Source organism: Homo sapiens, chromosome 3, assembly GCF_000001405.40.
Source record: "Homo sapiens chromosome 3, GRCh38.p14 Primary Assembly".
NCBI classification, from domain to species: domain Eukaryota; kingdom Metazoa; phylum Chordata; class Mammalia; order Primates; family Hominidae; genus Homo; species Homo sapiens.
Genome location: NC_000003.12, coordinates 8634374 through 8658126, shown reverse-complemented (window position 1 = coordinate 8658126; position 23753 = coordinate 8634374). Strand labels below are relative to the sequence as shown.

The following is a 23753-nucleotide window of genomic DNA, read 5'->3' as shown; positions in this document are numbered from 1 at the left end:
AAGCTGAGGGTCAGAGAGGTTAAGTGACCTGCCCAGGGTTACCCAGCTAGGATGCAGTTTGACCCCAGGCCCATTCACTGCAGAGTGGATGCTCTTCTCACCTCCCTCACTGTCTCCCCACACATGGGAAGAACAGGGAGGGCCAGCCTTGGAGTTGTCGTGGGGAGAAGGGTGCCTACGGTCCTGCCCATGCAGGGCTATGCAGGCGTGGAGGCTGGGAAGAGACTGGGACAGCCCCACTGCCTGCTGATACCAGCAGATATGCACACATACTGGAGAGCGAGGGTGGCGCCATGCCTGGTTCTCTGCTGAGCAAGAGGGAGGCCAGGGTGTCGGAGTCTACAGAACTGAATCCTCCATGTGTTACCATAGTGAAGGCTTTTCTTCCTTTCTCCCTCCCTCCTTCCCTTCCTTCTATACTCACCTCTTGGTAGGATGTGGTAGAAAGAGCATAATTTCGGTAGTCAGCCTTTGTTCCCTCCTCTTCTCCATGTACTTGACTCTTTTCATCCTTCAGTGCCCAGTGTCAGCCTCGCCTCCTCCAGGCAGCCTTTCCTGATCTCCCCCTTCCCAGAAAAGAGTGGGCTCATCTGACCTCCTGTCGTACCCACTGTCTATGAGCATGGAACACCTCATGGAGGGTGGCCTGTCAGTGCTAGAGAACTTCCACGTGTCCATGTCATGCCGTCCCACCTGGGTTGAAAGCTGCTTGAGGGTAGGGGCTGAGTCTTGGGCTTCTTCATGCCACTTTGTATTACTCCTCTGCCTCCTAACCTTCCATGACTTGTACCACCCTTTGGATTGATTATTCATCCACTCACCTATTCAACAAATACTCATCAAGTGCAGTGTCAGTTATGTGAAGATGCCTGAGATGCTATCCTGAAGTCTAGAGTCAATCAGGAAAGAGAGCTAAGAAAGGAGGTAATTATAAAACAGGGTGGTGGGCCAGGCACAGTGGTCCAGGCCTGTAATCCCAGCACTTTGGGAGGCCAAGGCAGTAGGATGACTTGAGGTCAAGAGTTCCAGACCAGCTTGGCCAACATGGCAAAACCCTCTCTCTACTAAAAATACAAAAATTGGCCGGGTGTGATGGTGCATGCCTGTAGTCCCAGCTACTCAGGAGGCTGAGGCAAGAGAATCACTTGAACCTGGGAGGTGGAGGTTGAAGTGAGCTGAGACTGTGCTACTGCACTCCAGCCTGGGTGACAGAGTAAGTGAGACTCTGTCTCAAACAAACAAACAAACAAACAAACAAACAAACCAAAAAATGAAGCAGAGTGGTAAATCCCATGGAAGAGGAGGCAGACTCATCGTGGGAGCCAGAAAAACCCACATTCAAATCCCGGCTCCACCACTTCCCACCTGTAGGAGCTTGGTCAAGTCACTTCCTCCCTGTGCCTCAGTTTTCTCATTTATAAACTGAGGCTAATAACAATTCTCAACTCACAGGGTTGTAGTGAGGACCGAATGAGATGATGTGGCCTTTTCGTCCTTTCCATCATGTTGGCTCCACATGGGCAGGGGTTGTGTCTTCCTCGCTCCCCGTCGTGTCCCCAGCCTAGGGCACATGGTGGGGCATGAGGACTGTTTGTGGAATGGCTGTTGCTCCGTCCCTGGGTCACAGTCAGTGACTGCCTGGTGCTGTCAAGAGGGGCTGAGAGTCCAAGAATTGGAACGCTCAATCCATAAGCAGGTTTTGTGCCAGGTTGGGAACACAAAACAGGGCAGAGGTGGCCAGGAGGCGGGCAGCAGCGAGGTTCCAGGAGGCCTCATTTCCTGTATGTTAGAAGAATAAATAGTAAAATGTGTCCTGGACCAAACCTTTGTTCCTTTTCTTGCCAGACTTGCTTATGGGAAAATTAGCTGCTTTTAGCAGAACATGGAAAAGAGGGAGAGTATATATTGCCAGAGGTTTAAGTTTCTCAATTTCAAACCTAAACATGAAGGCTTTTCAGTTGTGTGTTCTGTTTGAGATTTGCACAAACCTGGTCTCTCTCTTTCTCTTTTTGTCTCTCTCTCTTTCTTAAAATCTTAATTTCCTTGGTTATTGTTGAAGTGGGACACAAATTATTAAAAAACAGAACAAACCACCCAACAACTAGAAACTTTGTTTTCATAGCAGCACAGGCTTATATTTAGTTAGAATAATATTCTTTTGAAATTCAATTTCCCTTATTCCACAGTGGTAGGAGGAGAAGAAAAAAAAAGTGGAGATATCTGAAACATTCCCCAGCATTCTGAACTTAGGATAGAACAGAGCGGGTTTTGAAATCCTGGCCTGTGTGTTTGCCTCCCGAGTCTTCTGCTCTACCTTCAATCATTCTTCTGACAAAAACAGAAGAGCGAGGGGCTGTGTTATCAGTTTTCTGATTGGCTCTGAACAAAGGAATGGTGCTTTCTCTCCACGCTGTCAGCTCATTGATGTCAATCAGAAAATGGATTCGAGGCATGTTTGGGATTCCGACTAGTTTGTGTGCATAACGAGTTCCAAGTCAATATTTTCAGAGGGATGAAATAGATAGAGGTTGTGGGGACTAATGGGGGCAAGAATGACCCACTGAGACCTTGGGAAGCCACCCACTGTGATCTCGGGGAGGCCACACACTGAGACCCGGGGGAAGAGGCCACCCACTGTGATCTTGAGGAGGTCACACACTGAGACCCGGGGGAAGAGGCCACCCACTGTGATCTTGAGGAGGCCACACACTGAGACCCGGGGGATGAGGCCACCCACTGTGATCTTGGGGAGGCCACACACTGAGACTGGGGGATGAGGCCACCCACTGTGATCTTGGGGAGGCCACACACTGAGACTGGGGGATGAGGCCACCCACTGTGATCTTGGGGAGGCCACACACTGAGACTGGGGGATGAGGCCACCCACTGTGATCTTGGGGAGGCCACACACTGAGACTGGGGGATGAGGCCACCCACTGTGATCTTGGGGAGGCCACACACTGAGACCCGGGGGAAGAGGCCACCCACTGTGATCTTGGGGAGGCCACACACTGAGACTGGGGGATGAGGCCACCCACTGTGATCTTGGGGAGGCCACACACTGAGACTGGGGGATGAGGCCACCCACTGTGATCTTGGGGAGGCCACACACTGAGACTGGGGGATGAGGCCACCCACTGTGATCTTGGGGAGGCCACACACTGAGACTGGGGGATGAGGCCACCCACTGTGATCTTGGGGAGGCCACACACTGAGACCCGGGGGAAGAGGCCACCCACTGTGATCTTGGAGAGGCCACACACTGAGATCTGGGGGAGGCCACACACTGAGATTTGGGGGAAGAGGCCACCTACTGTGATCCTGGGGAAGCCACACACTGAGATCTCCGGGAGAAGACCACATACTTTGATTTTGGGTAGGCCACACACTGAGACCTTGGGGAGAAGGCCACACACTGTGATCTTGGAGTGGCCGCACACTGAGACCTTGGGGAGGACACCCACTGAGACATTGAGATATTTATATTTTCCCTGGAGCTCCGGCATCTGTCTGTAAAGTGAGGTGCTACGGTTCTATTCCTACTAATTTACCCTATGGAAACACACACACATGTGTAGACATAAGTACAAGGCTATCTTTAAACCACAGCAGTGTAACTGCAGGGAAGTAGGAGACAATTTGGGTGTCTATTGAGAGGAGAATGGTTAAATACATCATGATACATTCCTACAATGGGAAACTACGAAGTGTTAGAAATAAAGGAAACTGAGATGACGTGGGTGATTCTACAAACATGATGTTGAGTGAAAGAAGCCAGATTCTTTTGTTGAAAATTCATCTGTTGAAGCCCTACCCCCTAATGTGATAGTATTTGGAGATGGAGTCTTTAGGACGTAATTAGGTTTAGATGAGGTCGTGAGGGTGGGGTCCCCAGGATGGAATTAGTGCCTTTCTAAGAGACAGAAGAAAGCTTGCTCTCTCTCTTTCTCCTCTCCACATGAGGGCATAGCAAGAAGGCAGCCATCTACAAGCTAGGATGAGAGCCCTCACCAGAACCCAACCATGCTGGCACCCTGATCTTGGAATTCCAGCCATCCAAATGGTGAGAAAATACATTTCTGTCATTTAAGCCACCAGTCTGTTGTCATGGCAGCCTGAGCTGACTAATACAAGTGCCTGCTGTTTGAGTCCAAATGTATCAAGTTCAACAGGCAAAACTGAGCCATGCTGTTACAGGCAGGGGAACGGTTCCCACTGGGTGGGGTGGAAGGGTCGGGAGGTAGAGAGTGAGTACCGGAAAGTGGCCTAAAGTGGCTTCAGAATCTGGTCATGTTCTGTTCCCGATCTGAGTTTTGGTCACACGGGTACATTTACTTTGTCAAAATGCATCCAGTTGTGTTTTTAAGATTTGTGCTTTTTAAAGGATTTGTGTTATAATTCAGTAAAATGTATACAAAGAAAAATAATCTCATTCAAAAATTATCAGTAAAAACAAAAGTCTTGTGAACAATATTTTAGTTATTTCTATGTTATTCGTATTCAGCCCAGTGCCTGAATTTAAACCGGATTGTGTGCTAAATGTAAAATCTGCTACAGCAACAACAATAAAATGAACAAGGTAAAACTGTGTATGCTGTTGACACAGAAAGATATCCATATTGTATTTTTTGTTTCTTCTTAACAAAAAGGATGAGCAATATTTACAGCATGATTTCATTTACGCTTTTTAAAAATTCTAAGTGTATGCACACTTATAAGCAAATTTACATGTAAATTGACATGTGGACATTGGAGGTGGGGTGACCATTAGTTTTTAGTTTTTAATCTTTTGAATCTTTGATTTTTTAAGGATTAGGATATTTCTTTTATAAATATAAAAAGTAATGGTGAAGGTAAATAAAAGAGGACAATGAAAGTGAGTTTGGAGCAGATGACATCTGCGGCTCCTGCCTCTTGCTCTGAGGTCTGTGATTAACATTGACCTTCTTCATGTCCAGCCAGATGGATGACCAGGTTTGAGTTGGATGACATACATCTCCATGTGATTCTCAATTTAGATCCAAAAAGGTGTCCATTCTTGTGGCTATCATTTCGGTTTTTGGTTGTGGATTCTCTTTCTCCAAGTGGATGTGGAGCTGGCTCTGGAAGCCAGGTACAATGGCAGAGCTTCAGGGCATTTAGGTAGCCGATCCCCAGGACAAAGAGGAGCCCAGTCTCCTCCCCACTCCCAGGGAGATGGCCTGAGGGAAAGGGGGAGTCAGTCACATGCTTATATTCCAAAATAATAGACCTGTGGAGAGTGGCCTGAAGACACAGAGGAGAGAACAGTTGTTTCTGGTCAGGGAAATCATGAAAGGCTTCCTAGAGGAGGGGGCATCTGAGATGGTCCTTGGAGCATGAGTAGAAGTTTGCCAGGGAGAAAATGGTAGAAGGAGAATGTTTCAAATGGGGGAAACTGTATACATAAAACTCGATATAGGTATATCAGGGGAAAACATGTGAGGGCTAAGGCTGGAAAGGCTGTTTGGAGGCTGGCTGAAGATTTGGACTTTATCCTAGGGTAATAAGGAGCCATAAAAGATTTGAAGCAAGACACTTAATCAGATCTAAGTAGGCAGGAAAAGCTTTCCACCCTTCCCCTTTCTTTCCTCTCTCTTATCCTCCCTTCTTGGGAGGGGGACTCTGAGCAGCAGGAATAGAAGACAGTCTGGGTAGACATGATAAGCATTGAGGTTATGCCATGGAAGGCAGCTGCTATTAGTGACACAAAGGTTTGCTTGACTTGTGGATGTCTGATTGGGAAAAATCTGGAGATGGTAAAGCCATTTCTGTTACTGGTCTATAAGGCTACTCCTGATCACAGAGCACCTGAGACCCTGGGACTGGGGGAGATTGTGGTACAGGTGCAGAGGGAGGAAGATCAGAGAGATCCCGAGGAGGGCTCTGTGTGCTTGGATCAAGGACTCAACAGGGAAGGTGGGAGAGTTCTGTCGCACTTTGGACACTGTGTGTCATCCTGATCATGTGATTGTTTGATTTTCCTTCTGGGGATGGATGGTTGACCTCCACCGTTTCCTGGTCATCACTGTGCATGCGGGACACGCTGTAGAACAGCTCACACTGGCTGGCACTGCTAAGCAGGTGCGGAGGGGAGTCAGAGACCCCCGGATGGAGGGGTGAGTGAAAGCCTGCCTGAGGCAGTCGCCACGGAGATGGAGGGAGGAGAGATTGGCAGGAGGTGTGTGTAGTGGGAAGAGAAGAGACAGAAGTTGAGGATAATTAGGGGTTTCCTGTATGTGTGGCTGGGCATGATGGTGAAGAGGCAGAGGAGGGGAGGAGCTGGCATGGGGAGAAAGAGAATTAGGGTGGAGCCATGGGAACACATCCATCCTTGCTGAGGGCTGTCTCTCCAGTTGACATTAGATGGGAGGCCTAACATCAGGGGATGGAGGAAAAAATGATTTCTGCCACTTTTGGCTTCATGGGAGACTCTGCAGTGGGGCTATGTCTGATGTTACTTATCGCTCTGGTACCCATCAAGGTCTCTGCAAGGAATCAAAGCTCTTTAATAACATGTGAAAAAAATACACGATTCCTCATTCTGCTCCTGCTCCCCATTTTTGTGTGGCCCCAGGAGTCACTTCACCTCTGGGGACCTCAGGGCAACATTCAAAGTGTATTTGTCATGGAGGAAGCCCTGGGCCATGGTCTGCTACTCACTGCCATGTGAGCCTGAACGAGTCCTTTCCTTTCTCTTGGCCTCAGTTTCCCCATGTGCACAGTGAAGAAGTAGAACAAAAAGAATTCTGAGGTCCCAACAAGTGCTCACCGTCAGCAATGATGGCTTCCCTCACTTGCCTCCCCGCTTGCTGAGATAGCCGAGAGATGCAATGGGCTGGATCCCGAAGCATTTATGACAGAAACCCCTCTGCAAACACAAGGACGGGAAGTTAGTGTTGTCCTGTGGCCTGGGAAGGCTGGTGGTGCCTTGCAAAGCAAATTGAATTTGTGTTTGAAAATTTCAGTGACCAAACAGACTGGCCTTTTAAAATTCCAAATTGGCTTTGTAGATAAATGGATCAGATTAGTAGGAAGGAAGGGAGAAACGGAGGGACCGTGCAAAATGCGTGCAATTGCTGGCAGGCAGCCTTCTGCCTTATGAGATTAGCATCTCTGCCTTTTGCTGGAAATGAGCCACTCTGTTCTCCTTGCCTGCCAGGAGCCACGATTTAAAACCTCTTCCATTTTCTAGCCCAGTGAGGACAGCAGCCGGAACCACAGAAACTGGTTTTAGTTGGTTTAATCTGAAGCCCCCAGGCTGGGCATCTGCACTGACCCACAAAAGAGCTCCCTGGGAAATGTCTTCCAGAGTCAAGGCCACGGATGGAGCAGGAGCTGTCACTGGTCAGTTTTCCAACCACGGGGATGGAGCGTCCTGTAGTCCCAGCTTCCAGGGAAGCATCCTTCATTAAGGCTTGAGCCACAGGGTCAAACTGAACTCCTTCCTGCTGTTCCTATAATGTGGCACTCAGACTGGATCCCTGTTTTTGAAGAAGTAAATGTCTAGAAACAGGGACAAACTGGTATTTAAAAATTACTAGTGGCCTTCTTTTTTCTTCTATCAGTTTCCCCACAGTTGGAACAAAGCTTATCTTTGGAGAAAACTGTTTAGAAGTCCAGGACAATGGGAAGATAAAGTCCCTGCATAAGAATATATTTATTTATTCATTCATTCATCACATGTCTATAGAGCATCTATTATTTTCCAGGCTCTGTTCACAGTGCTAAGTATACAGCAGGGAACTAAACAGACACAAATATGCTTTTTGGGATTTTTATCTTGGTAGCCTACATCCAGATTATGACAGGTGTTGAACAAAACACATAGTAAGTTAGTTAATGTGTTGGATAGAAGTAAGTGCCATGAAGAAAAACAAAAGCAGGAAAGAGGGTCTGAGACTGGAGATTTGGTGGTGGCGGCAGGGTGTTCAATTTTAAATAGGGGCCAGGGACAGCCTCCCTGGGAGAGTGACATTTGAGCAAAGGCCTGAAGGTGGTGAGGGAACAGTTTGTGTAGAGATCTGTAGGGGAATTCCAGGTCTCCAGTACAGCAAGTGCAAAGGCCCTGAGGTGGGAATGTGCTTGGTGTGACCCAGGAACGATGAGGAGGCTGGTGGGGCTGGAGGAAAGGGTTGAAGGGAAGCAGGCAGAGGCCATATTGGTAGGGAGGGTGCAGGGGGTCGCTCGCAGAGCACGGCAAGGACTGGGCTTTTAGTCCAAGTGATTTTGCAGCCAGGAAGGGTGTTGAGCAGAGGAGGGGCTGTCTCCTGACTTACAGGTGTAGAGGGATCAGTCTGAGTTCTGAATTGAGCATGGGCTTTGTCAGGGCGAGGGCAACAGATAGGAGGCCCATGAGGAAGTGACTGCAGCAATCCAGGTGAGGGGGGCAGGGGGCTCAGGCACGAGTGGGAGCAAGGAAGCAGACTGGGAGAGGACCCAGGCAGATATGACTTGCTGACATTGAATGCGGGTATGAGGAAAAGGGGGAGTGAAAGCAGGTGGAGACCAGAAGTTCAGTGCTGAACACACAGAGAGAGCTCGAGGTGTCTGTTAGACAACTGAGGGGAGATGTCCCAGCCAGATAGAGGAGTCAGGAGTTCAGAGGAGAGGTCAAAGCAGAGGCAGAAATTGGGAATCATGAGTGCGTGGACGACCATAACACTGAAGGAGGTCACCAAGGGAGTGAGCACGGATGGACGGGCACACAATGGGTCCAGACACCCTGATATTTAGAGATCAGGGGAGAGGAGCCACCATCCCACCTTGCCCGCTCCTGGGACCTGCTCTGGGAATGAGGAGAAATGCAATTCCTGCCCTCTTCATGAACTGCAGGAGCCAGGAGATGTGGTAAGATGTGGCGAAAGTTCCTGTTGCAGGCAGCGTTCTTGGGAAGAAGACTTTGAGGAGGAGGACCTTTGTGTGTGGGAAGTTAGCTGGGGGTGCTCTTGGGATCAAGTCCTGTGAGGAAGCAAAGGCAGCAGGATTTCACAGAGGGAGGAGTTGAGTTGCGCTGCAGTCAGGGCAAAGGTCTTGCCCATTGTTGGAGGGTAGGGGCTCAGAAGTAGGGCAGCCCTTCAGAGCTGCCCTGAATGAAGGCCCAGGGTGAGTCAGGGAAGGGCTTGGCCAGGTGCTGGAGATGAGGTTCTCATCCTGAGGGGACCTGGGAGGGCAGCCCAGCACTCACTAAAGCACCCAGGGGAAGGTGACCAGGCCACCATTAGACGGTGGGGGCAGGCCAGAGTCTCTTAAGAAAGTTGATGAGTTGGGTTCCTGGAGCATCAGGATTGGTAGAGTCCTGGAGCTGCGATGTATCCAGGGTCAAGGTTAAGTTTTGTGTTGTGTTTAATCATTTCCCCACCTGTGTTTTGGGAGCCTTCCAAGAGGGGCCTCAGCTACATCAAGGGAATGAGGGAAGGGGCACTGTGGCCTGGAGGAGGTGATAGAGGGAAGCCCAGGGCAGCAGCAGACCAGAGTCACAGAAGGGAGTAGTGCTTTGGTGAGCACTCATTGGAAGCTTCTAGAAAGACTTCAGGATGGGGGGGCACCAGCTAAAGTGTGGCTTTGCTGTCGCTGAGGAGACAAAGGTTCAGGATTGGCTAGGAAAAGGAAAGGTGGAAGGTGACCTTCCTGAAGGCCTCTGGCCTGCGGGCATCGTAGTTTCTCAGCTTTCCTCCATTGCTTTCTGTTCAGCTGATTGGGTAGCCAGACTTACACGGGCCAAGCCACTAAGTAGCCAGGTCAGTGAAAACCATGCCACGCTCCTTCCCCTAGCTTCTTACAACGACACATAACAACACACAGAATTGTTTGTCATCTACATCAGGGCCTTGGTGCCAACTTGCTCTCATTCCTGTTCTGCCGCACCAGAGCTGTGTGACCTTGGGTAAGTCACTCAACCTCTCTAAGCCCTTGTTGTCTCGTCTATAAGGAGAACAATATCTATCTTACGGAGTTGTTGTGAAGGTTTAACTGAGAAAGCATCTGTGAACGCATCTCCCTTCCTATGTGGTATTTGGGGGGCATCAAGAAGATCTCAGTCCCTGTTTTCTGTCTGTGCAGTTAGAGGTCCACGACTTGGGCCTGGAGGGATATGCCAGTTTCCCTGGCTCCCAGAGAGAGGAGGGTGCTTGGGCATGGTGTTTCGAGAACCTCCTACTTGGACAAGTTTCTTATTTGTGTCAAGCCCATTCTCCTCCACTCCATACTTGATTCCTGCCATGGGCACCACTGGTCTCCATCCACCCAGCCTGCAGATAAGCCAACAACAATGTTATCTGTGGCTGCCAGGCCCTTTGGGGCAGAACTCCTTTGTTGGCAGTCTTGGCTCCTGTGGGGGTTCTGGGTGGCTCTGGGTTCGGTTGGGTTGTGAGGGCCCGAGGCAGGGCCTGGTTCCTGGTGGATGTGCAGGGAGCATTCACTGGATGAATGAGAGTGAGGGCTCTGTAGATGGTGGGGTGAGACCTTCGTCCAGCAGGAGCTGAGCAATAGCCGGCTTCTCTGAGACAAAAAGAAATAACCAGACCAGGCACTGTTCAAGGTTCTGCCCCCTGGGAGTACTTCTCCTCACCACGGTCCTTCAGGGATGTTCTGGAAAGGGGCTGCAGTGCTGCCATGTCCACTTTAGGACTTTGAACTCAGTCTACCCTGACTCTGAAGCCACAGACTGTGATGTTCTACTATTGCTCACACCCCACTTTGTTTAATCACCAAGCTTCTGCGTTAATATTCTTCCAAAGAGCTCAGTCCAAAGGCAAGAAACTCTTCTCACTAGAAAGTTTCTTTGTTCAGCCGAAAATGACCTCCATTCCGGACCAGCTCTCCGCATGCCTGCGCATGGATAGGACAGGTGTCCTGAGATTCTGTTCTGCTGCTGCCTTCCCACATGCCCCTTTAAACACTTGAAGACAGTTATTGAACCTTGCTTCTAGGTTTTTCCTCACTATCATGTTCAATTGCAGTCTGACCACGTGGTTCCTTGATTCCCTTCTAAAGCTCTGCCCTACCCTAATTCTTGCTGCAGCCATGACATATCCCAAGACAGACACCCACCTGTGAGATTACATAGATTTTATTTCCAGGAAAAAACAAGGTTCTTAGACAGCAATCAATTGATAGAGTCAGCTCCTGGACAGCTGTGCTAATTCCACAAATGTTTCTTGAGCACTTAGCACATGCAGGACACGAGGGCCAGTTCAGGAGGAGCTCTCAGAGCCCACTCATTTCCATCAACAGCAGGGAGGAAGAATGACTGTCAGATGTCAGGCACATAGTGGGCGCCTCTCTTCCCTGATCCCAACCTCCTTTGATAGTAAGAGGCAGGGACCAGTACTAGCCTCACACTGTCGTGGGTCCCAGAGCTAATGCTGCTTGTTCCTGCTGCTACCACGGATGTTAGGTGTTGATGGGTACATTACTTGCCCCGAGTCACTCAAGCACACTGTTGCAGACAGCACTTCTGTACGGATGCCGAAGCAAGATCAGAAAGGTCTAGCTGTTGGTTTGTTTATCTTCCATGCGTTTTAAGAGCTTTTTATTAACTTACTATTATGTGATCTAAGTAGCGTGCAGAAAAGGACTGTCATTTCTGCTGATCAGCACTTCCTGGTTACGAAAATACAGCTCAGCGTTGTCTGCATTTTTGCGGCCTCAAGATTTCGGGTCCTTGTAATGCTTAATTCTCTTCAACATTTTGTTCAATTTGACATTTAAAGAATTTTCTGTGGTTGTTCCTTTTAAATGCTGAGGAGGGTTTTAGGTAAGCATATATTGCGCTTAAAAAGTACTCAAGATGTAATAGTGGTATATTGTTTTAGTTAAGTTGCAAGCATTTTGTCATTAATCTATCATTTATCATGTTTTGGCTCAAATATATACACACATGCAAACACACACCTAAACAGATACAGCAATGGATGCTCACACAGATGTTTAGGGTAAAATATACACGCAGAGAAAGGCATACAAATTCATGATAACCCCATTTACCATGGGGACAATTCTATAAGGGCTTAAAATCATTGCTTCATGTATAAAGGCATCAAAAGACCACATTTGTTCCTCAGGATCATGGTCTTCCTTGTGTATACACAGTAATGAAACTTATATGACTCTCAAGTATCAGAAATCCAGTGCTCCTACCAGCCATAAAAATCGATTTGTGAGGACTGAGTCACCTAAGAAGCATTTGTGAAATTGTGAATACTGCTGAAGGTTGCACTTGCATGCTGTCGGCGATGGGCAGTCAGTGACGAGGGTGAAGGCAGTAGAGAGAATAAAGACACGCTCTTTATGGAGCAGCTGGGAGCCATCTCTGTGCAGTGTGGCCATCCCAGACAGGCCGACATTTAGGACACTGACAAAATAGTCCTGATGCTTCCCCTGGTGAAGGCAATCCCAGGTTGTCATTGAGGAATATCATGGCACATCCCACGTGCATTGCTGGGATGGGGAAGTCAAGGCGTAGGGCAGTTTCATCACCCTGGCCAGAGAACCCCAGGTTCAGCTGCAGAGGAGTGATTGCCAAGGATGCAGTGGAGGGGGTGGGACCCATAGAGCCTCGGGGACCAGCTCACAAGTTCTGTGTTTAGACTCATGCAGAGGAGGATGATCTTCCAAGGGCTGAGGTTGAAGGGGTGTCAAACTCCAATGGAAAAGGTTTAGGAAAAGACCTTTTACAAATCCAAAGATGTTTCACAGTGGGCGAGGCTGGTGTGGCGACAGTAGTGGCCCACATGGCTGGGTTGGGAGCCAGCTCTGCCCATGAGGTGCCGTGTGGCTTTGCAGTGTGGCCTCACAATCCCAGCTTTGTTTCTTCCCCAGGGAGATGAGGCTGGTGATGCTCAAGATCTCAGAGGCCCTGCCCAGGCTGAGTATCTGTATATAATATCCCCCTTGGGGAGGTAACCTTCTTGTGGTTATGACCTTTTTCTGCATGCGCCCTACAATACTTAGGAGTCTGCCTCCTACAGCTGGGCGATGTAGCTCAGTTGTCAGGCACTCTGACTAGAGAGTCAGACTGATGAGGGTTTGAATCTATCATCCTGCTCAGAAAAATGGGCATGATACCAGTGCCCCTCTCAAAGGGGTGCAGTGAGGACATGAGTAACTAGAAGCATCCATAAGAGCTTGGTCAGTAGAAGGCTCTTGTGGAAGAGGAGCTCCCAGAACCCGGTGGATTGGGTGCAGAGCAGCTGCTATGATGAACGATATAGATGTTTCCCTTTGTTGTATTCCAACTGGGTAACAATGGGCCTGCTGTTCTGGGAGGGGCCTGAGGGTGGTCCATCAGAGCACATCGGTCCAAGCACACTCGAAGGGCAGACATCTCTTTGGCAGGACGTCTGGAACATGGACAGGGATCTGAATGAAGATGACAGTAAGTAGAGCCTCAAAGATGGCACGGAAGACTGTGTGGAGATATTTTAGCCTGCATTTGAAGAGGACCTAATCTGACCTCTAATATGTTGGAAGTTATGTATCCATAGTCTTTTCTAATAAGCTCTGTAGCTAGCACTGTGTGAACTCTTCCATCTGCCCTAAATGCAGTCCTGGGTCTGCATCTGGATTGCCGAGAGCACCCCTTCCTTCCTTCCTTCCTCTCGTGTGTAAAGCCTACCTGTAGCTTGCGATCTCTTCTTCCGTTATGAGCCTTTGGACAATGGAGAAGGAAGGTGAAAGATGAAATTGAGAACTTTTCTCTCTATCACAGTGACACCATGCAAACCTTATATTCTTTTCCCTTTTTCTTCTTTTCTCTAGTTGACAGTGTCTCCTGCTCCCAGCCAAATCTAAGTGAGATTTTCAGGATTCTTATTTCAATCACAATTGGATTCAGTTCTTAGATGATGTTAACTCTACAGAAAGGTCGGGAAAAGGCTTCACTCGTGATCTTTCTCTAGCAAACGGCCAGTTCGTTCATTATCGCTTATGAAACATAGCCCAGGTGACCCCATCCTGTCACTACCGGGACAGAAATACAATGGATTCTCAGAGCTATTTAAAAACATGAAGGAAATGGTATTTCAGGAAGAAATGTGCTATGTTTTAAAAAGGGAAATTTTTGAATCCGAATTTGAAACAGGCAGTGCAGAGGGGTGGTGGTTGCCGGTGGCGGGGAGTGGGGAGGGGAAGAGCATGAGACTGAGAAGTGGGAGGCCAGGGTTCAAGTCCTGGCTCTGCTCTGAATTGGCTGTGTGATCTTGGGCAAATCACTTAACCTCTCTGAGCTGCAATATTCTCATCTATAAAACGAGATTGGTTTAGGTCTCAATCTGAGGACCATGAGGGTGTGGGCAAAATGCTTTTTGAGCATGCTTTTTGGGAGATGTAGAGAGAGGTCTATAGCTTTCATTTGAATCCAGAGAGATCCATGACACTAACACAACTTCATAGTCACCAGACTTGATGACACTGGAGCTTCTTTGCAGGCATAACACTCTTTCTTGTCTTTAATGTTGATATCTTAAAGCTTTAAGTTTTAGACCTGAAGCAGAATATGAAATTAACCTATACTAAACTTAGAGAGCTCAATTTAAATTTTGTTGGAATCTTTTTTCATATTGAAGTGAAAGACTGCCTGGAGATATTTTAGCATGTATTGGAGGAGGGCTTAATCTGACCTCTAATATATTGGAAATTGTATATCCATACTCTTGTTCTAATAAGCTTCAAATAACATTCTAATGCAATCTTTTTTCTTCAAAACACTGTTTATTAGCAGTCTTTCCATTTATGATTAGAGTTTCTCATAGTAGCAATGGACTAGGTCAGATCTGGACTCAAACCTATGCTCTGCCTCCTAGTTTCTGGGTGACTTTGCTCAAGTCACTTAACCTCTCTGAATTTCATTTCCCATAATTTTTTTTAAAGGGATGGTGTCATCTTGCAGGATTGATCAAAGATTCGTTGGCTACAAAGTGCCTAATACATCACCAGCCCAGAGTAGACATGGAGTCAATATTGACTCTACGAAATGATCAGGTCCCCAGAACTTTAAAAGTAAACTGCTATTAATGGGAAATATTATCTTCTGTGAAGTTCCTGTTTTGACCTCATGCCTTTTGGTGAGCAAGGTGAGAGAAAAGTGAAGTCTTTGGGCCCATTACAAGTCTAGGAACCCTGAGTCTTTCATAGGGTTGTCCTGAGTGCTGGTCTCAGATGTGATGGAACTCAGGTGAGCACTTGGGGTTCACTGCAAGGTATAGAGGCACCCAGGGAAACTTTTAGAAAAAGTTAATGAAATCAGAAACCAGGTAGATTTTTTTTTCCCCAAGTGTCAGAAAGGGAGCCTGCTACAGGCCTTACATAATTTAAATGTGCCTGTTTAGGGGAGAGGTGATTGCCCATTTTATCCAATCGAGTTAATGTTCCAGGCACTATAGTGTTGTCCCATCACTTTTCAGGTCTATAATATGAGTGACTTCAGGGGGAGAAAACCTTTCTCCAGTGATACGTTTTGGGACAAAAGTGCATGGATAGGAACGTTCTGGGATGTGGCACCCATGTGCAAATCTCCTCAAGGAGGCCTTTGACCATCACCTTCAGGTGCTGGCTGTCTACAGCATCCCTGACCAGGGCAGCATCTCCTACTTTGGCTGGACCACTTCCAGTGATGGTCTGGTTCTATTTCTATAGTCGAGACTGTCCAAAATTCTTTCTTACATTGAATCGCTATCTCTCTCCCTGGAGCTTCTACTCTTTGGTCTTGATTCCAGGCTGCAAGTCTACTCAGAATGTCTGTTCCCTGTTTAAGATAAGAGCCCTGTAAGTCTTTTCTTTTCTAGCCTAACCAGATCCTGTTTCTTCAACAATCCTAGAGGTAATCACTCTTTTCTTAAAGTGCAGTGTCCTAGCACAGAGCGGAAGAGAAAAAAATCCCCTCCCTTATTCTATATACCATATCTTTTGTGATAGAACTTACTTCTTTGATTGCAGACTGAAACCTTTTCCAGAAATGGTGAGCAAAAGCCTCTTCAAGTAAGATGGGCTATAAATACAGTCTCTGGTAATTTTAGGAGGCAGCTTTTCTGGTCTAGGACTATAAGACATGGGTTGTACCTTTTTACTCCTGGGCATGAGTTCCTGTGGACCCCCGTCCACAGGGGCAGGATTGAGATCACGAGTGAGAGCCCTGGTCTGGGGCCACATCGCCATCACCACCCCTGACCCAGTGCTGAGCAGCTGGGACTCTCCCTTGGTACCCAGGCCAGCTCTGCTCCCAGAAGTCTTGTTCATAGAATGCCCCTGCCCTCCACGACTAGGGATGGAAAATTGATACTAGCTTTCAGGCTCTCAGTGTATCTTGGTGAGAAAGGGTGCTGGACTTCTTGGCAAGGGCCAAGCTGCCGTTAGCTGTGGTGACTGACGGGGGATCTCAGTGTTTTTCACACATCCCGTGGATGGAGGCACAGCCACCGGAATGCAGCTTTCCCAGCTAGGTTAGCCCTGGCCTCTAGGGGCCCATCTGGTCTTTCCCACAGGCTGCACACTTCGGGAGGGGGATAGTGGTTCCGGTAGCCCCTAATAGGAAGATACAGCATCTACTTTGGGGAGTGAGTAAGAAATAAAAAGCTTCAGTGAAATTGTTACAGCTTAGACAGGATCCCCAGGCTCTCCTGAATCAGTTTCCAGAGTCCCCTCTCATCCATTGTCTCATTTGCTCCTCTCAGTGACCCTACTCCCTGAGCCCTGCTTTTAGGGAAAGGAAATCAAGGCCCTAAAAAATTGAGTGATTTTTTCTCCCCAAAGACTGCGTAGCAGGTTAGGTATTTTGTGCTGTGGTCATTGCTGGGAAAATGAGGATGAATAAAACATTGATCTACCTTTGGGGTACTCCAAGTCTGGTGGGGGACACAGACCCCACATGGACCTTTTACAAAGGATTCTTAAGAAGCCGTTTGGCAAAACAACAGTGGAGAAGTGGAGTGGAGTGCCAAGGGGCACAGGACAGGGAGCCGCACTCAGGCAGGCTTTGGAGACGGGGAGGTCTAAGCTAAGTCTGGAGGGGGTGCCCAGTGGTGCCGCTGGCAGAACCAGCCCCAGCCAGGGCTGGGGAAATGGCACAGGGTGTGTGAGGGTGAGTACAAATGTCTGTATCATGAAGCCACAGGGCACCTCTGGGAAGCCCAGTCCCTGTGTGGCCCTGTCTTGGCATGACAGCACTTTCTAAGAAGCATTAATTTCATATTTCAAATAATTGAAAAATATTGACAAATAACAATCTCAAATAATTGAAAACAAAAATTGCAATATTTGCTGCATTCTTGCTTGGCAACCCAGGGTGGCCTACATAACTTAAAGCAAATCTTCTCCCAACCCTTCACCCATTTCTCTTGATGTTGGTCTCACGGCATGGTGAACATTTGCTTCCCCAAATATTTTTTCAATGGCTCCCAAACCAACTATTCATGCTTCTCTCTCCAGCAGGCTTGCCTTTCTCCTTCCTTCTTTCTTTCTGTTCTCCTTGTCTCTTTCCTTCCTTTTTTCTCTGTGTTCTTTTTCCCTACTGTTGCCGTCTTCCACAGTTAGCTGCCTTACCTTCTCTCACCCTGGTCTGCACATGTAGGAGGCTTTTCCTTGGCATGTGGGCAGATGAGAATCCTTTCTTCCTCTCTTGTGGGTAAGGGCATCTAATGTAGGGACCTTACCTGCCAAATTCAGGAGCTTGGATTTAGCTGTGGGTAATAGTGAGTCACTGCAGGGGTTAGGTGAGGGGGTGATATGATCAGGTTTTCTGGTCTTGCTAGGAAGTACTTGAACTACTGTGACCAATTATTTGTTTGTTCTTTGTGGCAAAAACAGAACTTCTTTCTTTTCTTTCTCTTAGGATCACCTGTCATTCTCAAGTTGTTTTTATTTGTGATAAAATATACCTGACATAAAATTTGCCATCTTAGCCATTTGTAAGTGCCCAGTTCAGTAGTATTGTTCATTCACGTTGTTGTGCAGCCATGACCATCCTTCTCTGGAACCCCTTTCACCTTGTAAATCTGAAATTCTGTCTCTATTAAATAATTCCTTATTCCCTTCTCCCCACAGCCCCTGTCAACCATCACTCTACTTTGTGTGTGTGAGTTTGACCACCTGAATCTTTTTGGCACCATCTCAAGTATAATTCAAATCACGAGGCATTTGTGCATATCGACAATACACCCATCGTGGTAGGTTTGCTGTTCCCCTAACACTTACGTGTGCCTGTTGGATTCCCACTCTTTGTTTAAGTGTTGAATGCCATTCCTTTCTTATACGAGACAGGGGCCCCTGTCCAAAAGGGGCCCTCACACCTGTCAAAGGAGACAATGTATGAAACAAACTCAAGTAAGATGGTGATGGGAAGCCCTTTGAGCACGCTTCAGTGCTTTTAAGATGATTAATGTGGAATTAGGGACAAAGGACATTGATTTCCTTTCTCATCTGTAGTCAAGGGAATGACATTTTAAAAAGAGAACGTTAAAGGGGTTACCCATTAATAATGCCTTTCTCCACAAGGAAAATTCCTTTCTATACAAAAGAAAAATATCTTGTGGGTGGTGAGCTGAAACACTACCTTGGCGACTCTCTTTGCAAAGTCTTCTCAACATTCACCTGATGCTCTTTGCATGGAGCCATAGGGTGTTCAGCTAAGTAGAAAGGTCACTGGGCTTGGAGACAGGATCTGAGCTCTAAGTGCTATTTCTATCTCTGCCATGCGTGTGTGAGCAAAGTTGCCCCAAACCACATCTTTGAGTCTCATTTCATTCTTCTCTGAAATAGGGAAAACTGGTTATCGTGAAGCACAAAGGAGATCATGCCTACAATGTCCCTTTGGGAGCCACGGGACACAATGTGTGTGTTAGGGCGGGGTGGTCCAGCTGGACGACTGCCTGAAACAGCTGCAACACCATGGGAACAGCAATGTGGCTGGTGGCCCCTTCCGAGTGCCCCGTGCTGGGTGTCACACAATGCCCCGTGACGTCCACATTCCCTGCTGAGCCCGTCAAGATCTGTACAGGAAACGACACCTCCTCCTTAGTTGAGTCTGGAGTCCTTTATTTTTGTACATAACAGAATGGCGAGATTAATTTAGCTCTGATGAACTGTAGCTGCTCTGAGAGGTCAGGGTGGCTCCTGGTTGAGGAATGGAGTCTGAGTTTCCCACCTCTCATTCTTCCCCACTTCCTGCCCCTTTTGTTTGGTTTCCAGCAGGACATTGCAGCCGAATGGTATTTCCCTGTCTTCTCGTCAAGAGGAGTATTGATGCCCCAGCAGACCCAAGACTTGTGGGTGGGTGGGGGGCCATCCCAGGGGACAGGGCTGTGACAGTCTTTCTATGCTTGATATTTTCACTGTTGTCTTCTGGCTTAAATGAGCACAAAGAAAGGGGAAGACCCACCCTTCTTAGGTTGGAGGCAGTGACTGGGTTTTGTTAAAGGCCAGGCACAGGACTAAGGACTATGCACACATTGTCTCATTGCTTGGGTATTAATATCAACTGCTCTGTTTTGCATAGGAGGGAGTTGAGTTCTACAGGGATGTGTGGCTTACATGGTGTCACATCATGCAGAGAGCCTGGGCCCAAGGTGACATGTCAGAACCCATGTTTCTAACCATGCTGCCTTTGGGTTTCTGACTCCGGTCAAAATGTGGCAGGACCATTGGCTCACAAAGATGTGTTTTCTTGCTTACAAAGGCACTCTACGTCTATGAAACTTTTTTCTATTTACCTTCCTTGTAGGTTTTCTGCCAGGAGGAAAAGACCTTAGAGAGGCAGATAGTATTTCTTATTGTCAGAGGACAAGGACATTCCCAGTTTGGGAGGTGGTAGAGAGGGGGTGTTCATTCGTCTTAAAGGCATCCCCTCCTTCCTCCACTGCTTGGGCCATGTATTTCAGGGCTACAGTCCAGCCCTGACCTTGATCTTTAATTCTGATAATGGAGCTGACAGAAACTACAGTGGACATGCATGGGCCTTCGCCCCAGAAAGGCTCAGGTTTCAGCCTCTACCTTTCTGATCCCCTCAAGCCCATTCCCAGGAGAATGTCTAAGTAGACACACAGGTGAGTGTCTAAGTCAGGGATGGGCCAAACGTGACTCCGAGGGCCAAATCGGACCCACCACCTATTTTCACAAATGAAGTTTTCTTGGAACGAAGCTTCTATTGTCTGGTTTTTGTTTTTATTAAACTTGAAGGGACAGGGTATATTATTTTTACTTTTGTGAAGGGAGAGAGCTACTACGGGCTTTAAATAGGTTCCTCCCACCAAACAAACAAACAAACAAACAAACAAACAAACAAGCTCTAGGAGATGGGGCAGTTCAGCTGGAAGTCTGCTCTGAGTTTGCTTCAGTGACTGAGACAGACGGTGTCCCCTTCCATGACCATTTCACAGGCACTATTTGAAGTCAACTCCTGTGACTGACTTGGCCACTAGACAAACAGAACCAAGGGATTCTTGTCTCCCAGTGTGAGGGGTTGTAGGAACAGTTTTAAAGGGGCGGCCCAGTGGGCTGGAACTAGACCTCTTGTTTCAGAGGCCTCTGGGACCTCTGTCCTGCTCTAACTCCACAGCTGTGTGACCTAGGATTACTGGAGTAATCTCTCTGAGCCTCATGTGCCTCATGTCAAGTGGGGTCAGAAGTGCTGCCTTCCACACCCCCAGGTGGGAGTGTGGGATGAGGCAACATGTGTGGGAAGGTGTTTCATGAACCTTCCAGTGCTTCAGGGGCCAGTTCTTATATTATGCTTTCCTCCTTGGCATCTCAGGGCCACCTGTATCTATGTCACACCCGACAGGCTAGGATGAGGTTTTGAAAACAGATACGTAGTGAATGATTTTTTCATAGTTTTGCCTCATGAAAAGTACAGATACTACTCCACCTACAGTGGGGTTATGTCCCAATACACCCATCATAAGTTGAAAATATCAGAAGTCAAGAAGGCGTTTAATACACCAGGCAGTGGTGGAGTGGGAGCTGTGGTTCACTGCCGCTGCCTGGCGTCACGAGAGTGTGTCATATTTTCTATTGCTAGCCTAGGAAAAGACCCATATTCAAAATTTGATGTTTGGTTTATAATGAATGCATATGGCTTTTGTACCATCATAAAGTAGAAAAATCAATAAGTCCAAACATCCTAAGTTGGGGACTGTCTGTACTTGGAAAGAACACGAACTTTGGAGTCAGACGAGTCTAGGTTTGAATCCAGCCCCACCCACCACTTGCTGGTTGTATGATCTTGGGCAAGTCACAACCTTTCTGAGCCTCAGTTTCCTCATTGGTGGAATGAGGGAAGGCGTTAGTGTACCAGTTTGGGTCACCCATGAAGCAGACACCAAGATGGCATTAGATGTGCAAGGGGTTTCTTGAAGATACCTGTGAAGAGAAAAGAGGAGGGAATGTCTTCAGACTGCAATGCAGGTCTGACGTTTGTGAAGGGAGAGAGGGAAGGAAGGAGATTAAGTAGGAGGAGTCTCAGACTCCATGTGGCTCCAAGAAAGTCTTGGTCAGGTCTGCTGGGAATCCCAGAGCAAAGATTGTCCACTGGAGGAAGCTGCATAACAAATGACCCCACATCTCGGTGCCTTAAAACAACAATGTTTTTATGTCTCATGATTTTATGGGTCAGGAATTAGGGTAGGGCTCAGGCAGGAGATTCTTCTGCTCCACGTGGTGTTGATTAGGGTCATCCAGTGGCATTCAGCAGGTGGCTGATATGGCTTGGAGGGTCCAGGATGGCTTTGCTGGTTTGGCGGGGATAGCTGGAAGGCTGGACTCAACTGGACCTCCTTCCATGTAGTCTTAGGGTCTCCTCATGGTCCCTCCAGCATAATAGCCTGACTTAGAGCTCAGGGTTCCAAAACAAATGCTCCATGAGGCAGAAGTAGCTGCAGTCTTTTAATGCTTCCACTGTGTTCTCTTGGTTGAGGCAGTCACATATCTTCCCAGTTTCCATGAAAGGAAAGCATCAAAGAATATGTGGCCATCTGTAATTCCACAGTGAATTACAGACTCATGAATGCAATAATGCATATTCACGGAGTAGGTACCCAGCAAATAGGAGCTGGCATTCTTGATGTTTCTCATCACTATTATTACTGCTGCTACTACCACCTGCCCTGCAGATGTATTCTGTGTCCTAAGGATGCCAGAGTGAGGCTGGCTTAAACGTGAGGCTTTTTATAATGCACCCGCCCTAATTTCTCAACTTCCTGTGAAGCCCTCATCAGCCCTCGCCTCCCTACCCAAGGCTTAGGAATGCTTGTCTTTCTGCAGGTGTGGTGGACCTCAGTTTTGAGGCCGAGAGTCCTCTGGCGCCCCCCACAGAGCTCCTGGAGAGACTGCCCAGCTATGACTGGCTTCTTCAAGGGGGCAGTAAGTTCCAAGAGGGCTTGGTTCTTTGGGCTTCTACCTAGGGCTCACGCTGGTTGGTGGGATGTCTCGGGAAAAAGGTGGTGCTGAGATAGCTCCCCTTTCCCTGGGGGGGCCCTGGGAAGCCCCTCATCTTGGGCAGGTGGAAAGAGGAAGCAATGGGGCATAGGCCTTCTGTCTATGAACAGTCCATGACTGCGACAGGTCCCACTAAGACCTAGATGGTGCTGGTCTTGGAGTCCCCATTCTTTTTGCATTAAATGCATCACTGTTTCTTCATCTGTTCTTTCTCACATTCAATCAGTCTTTCCTTCTTCCACCACACAAATATTTGTTCCTTTGGCCTGGGCTGTCCAGCCCCTGACTCTTCCCTTCTCCAGGAGGACAGATATTCTTCCCACCTTTGGAGGCCCCAGGGAGGCCCCAGGAGCAAAGGTCCTGGCCCTCGTTCCTGGAACACAGGTGAGTTTCAGGTTGTACTCTGTGACTGTGTGCATTTCCTATGTCACTATTGCCCCTTGAGGATCTCAGCCCTGGCAGTGCATCAGGATCCCTGGAGGGGGCCGTCTGCACCCCAGACCTACTGCACCAGATCCTCCAGGGATGGGGCTTAGGGATTTACATTTTACCAAGCTCTTCAGGTGGTTTGGCAACAAAGCCAGCGTTGAAAACCATAGTCTAGATCAGGGTTGCAAACTCCTGTCTGTGGGCCAAATCCAGTCCACTGCACATTTCTGGAGTAAAGTTTTATTGGAACACAGTTACACTCAATTGGCTGTGTATTGTCTCTGGCAGCTTTTACTCCAGAGCTGAGTAATTGAGACAGAGACTATGTGGGCTACGAAACCTCAAATATCACTATGTGGCCCTTTGCAGAAGTTTGCTGACCCTGGTCTAGATCCGCGGAAAGGCCCATATCCACCTTGTTTTGAGAGGACTCAGGGCCGAGCTCAGGGTTTCCAGCCAGCTTTGTGCGGAGAGAAGGTGGAGCTGCCCCCTATTTCAATCCAGCCTCTCACCTGGGCAGCATGAGAGGCTTCTCCCGGGGGCTTCTGGCCCTGCTGCTGCCAGAAGCAACCCCCTTCTCCTCCATGGACACCCACTTTCCATGCTTAGGAAGAACCCTGCTTCCTCCGGGGAGTCATCTCTGGCCTCTCCAGCCCACAGTGTCTCTTGTGCTGCCATCCATGGATCTGAAGACAGACGGGCCCCTCTGTGTGCCAGGGCTGGAGGATGCTGGAGATACAAGTGTGCAGAATTGTGGATTAATGGCTCTCAGGGCTGCCATGGAGAAATGCATGAAGATGCAAGGGGAGGAAGGAGGATTCTTTCCTCTTGGAGGTGTTGGGGCCAGAAAGACTTCAGTAAGGGGGTGGCATGGCCTCAGG

At 48.0% G+C, this 23753-nt stretch overlaps 1 protein-coding gene across 35 annotated transcripts in view; it reads left to right on the top strand.

The window, feature by feature from the left end:
- Positions 1-23753, top strand: part of SSUH2 (ssu-2 homolog) — a 62542-nt gene that overhangs the window by 23801 nt on the left and 14988 nt on the right. For 12 of the 35 annotated variants that reach the window (XM_047448236.1, XM_047448234.1, XM_017006515.2 and 9 more), the window contains 5 exons: positions 18058-18179; positions 18772-19029; positions 22270-22368; positions 22746-22827; positions 23482-23729. In XM_047448236.1, the coding sequence (XP_047304192.1) occupies positions 18901-19029; positions 22270-22368; positions 22746-22827; positions 23482-23729 (558 nt within the window). In that variant the 5' untranslated portion in view covers positions 18058-18179; positions 18772-18900. Of the gene's footprint in view, positions 1-4028; positions 4064-6042; positions 6138-13328; positions 13397-18057; positions 18180-18771; positions 19030-22269; positions 22369-22722; positions 22828-23481; positions 23730-23753 lie in introns of those variants that run through there. The other 23 variants (XM_017006528.2, XM_017006523.2, XM_017006524.2 and 20 more) reach the window with 15 other exon arrangements.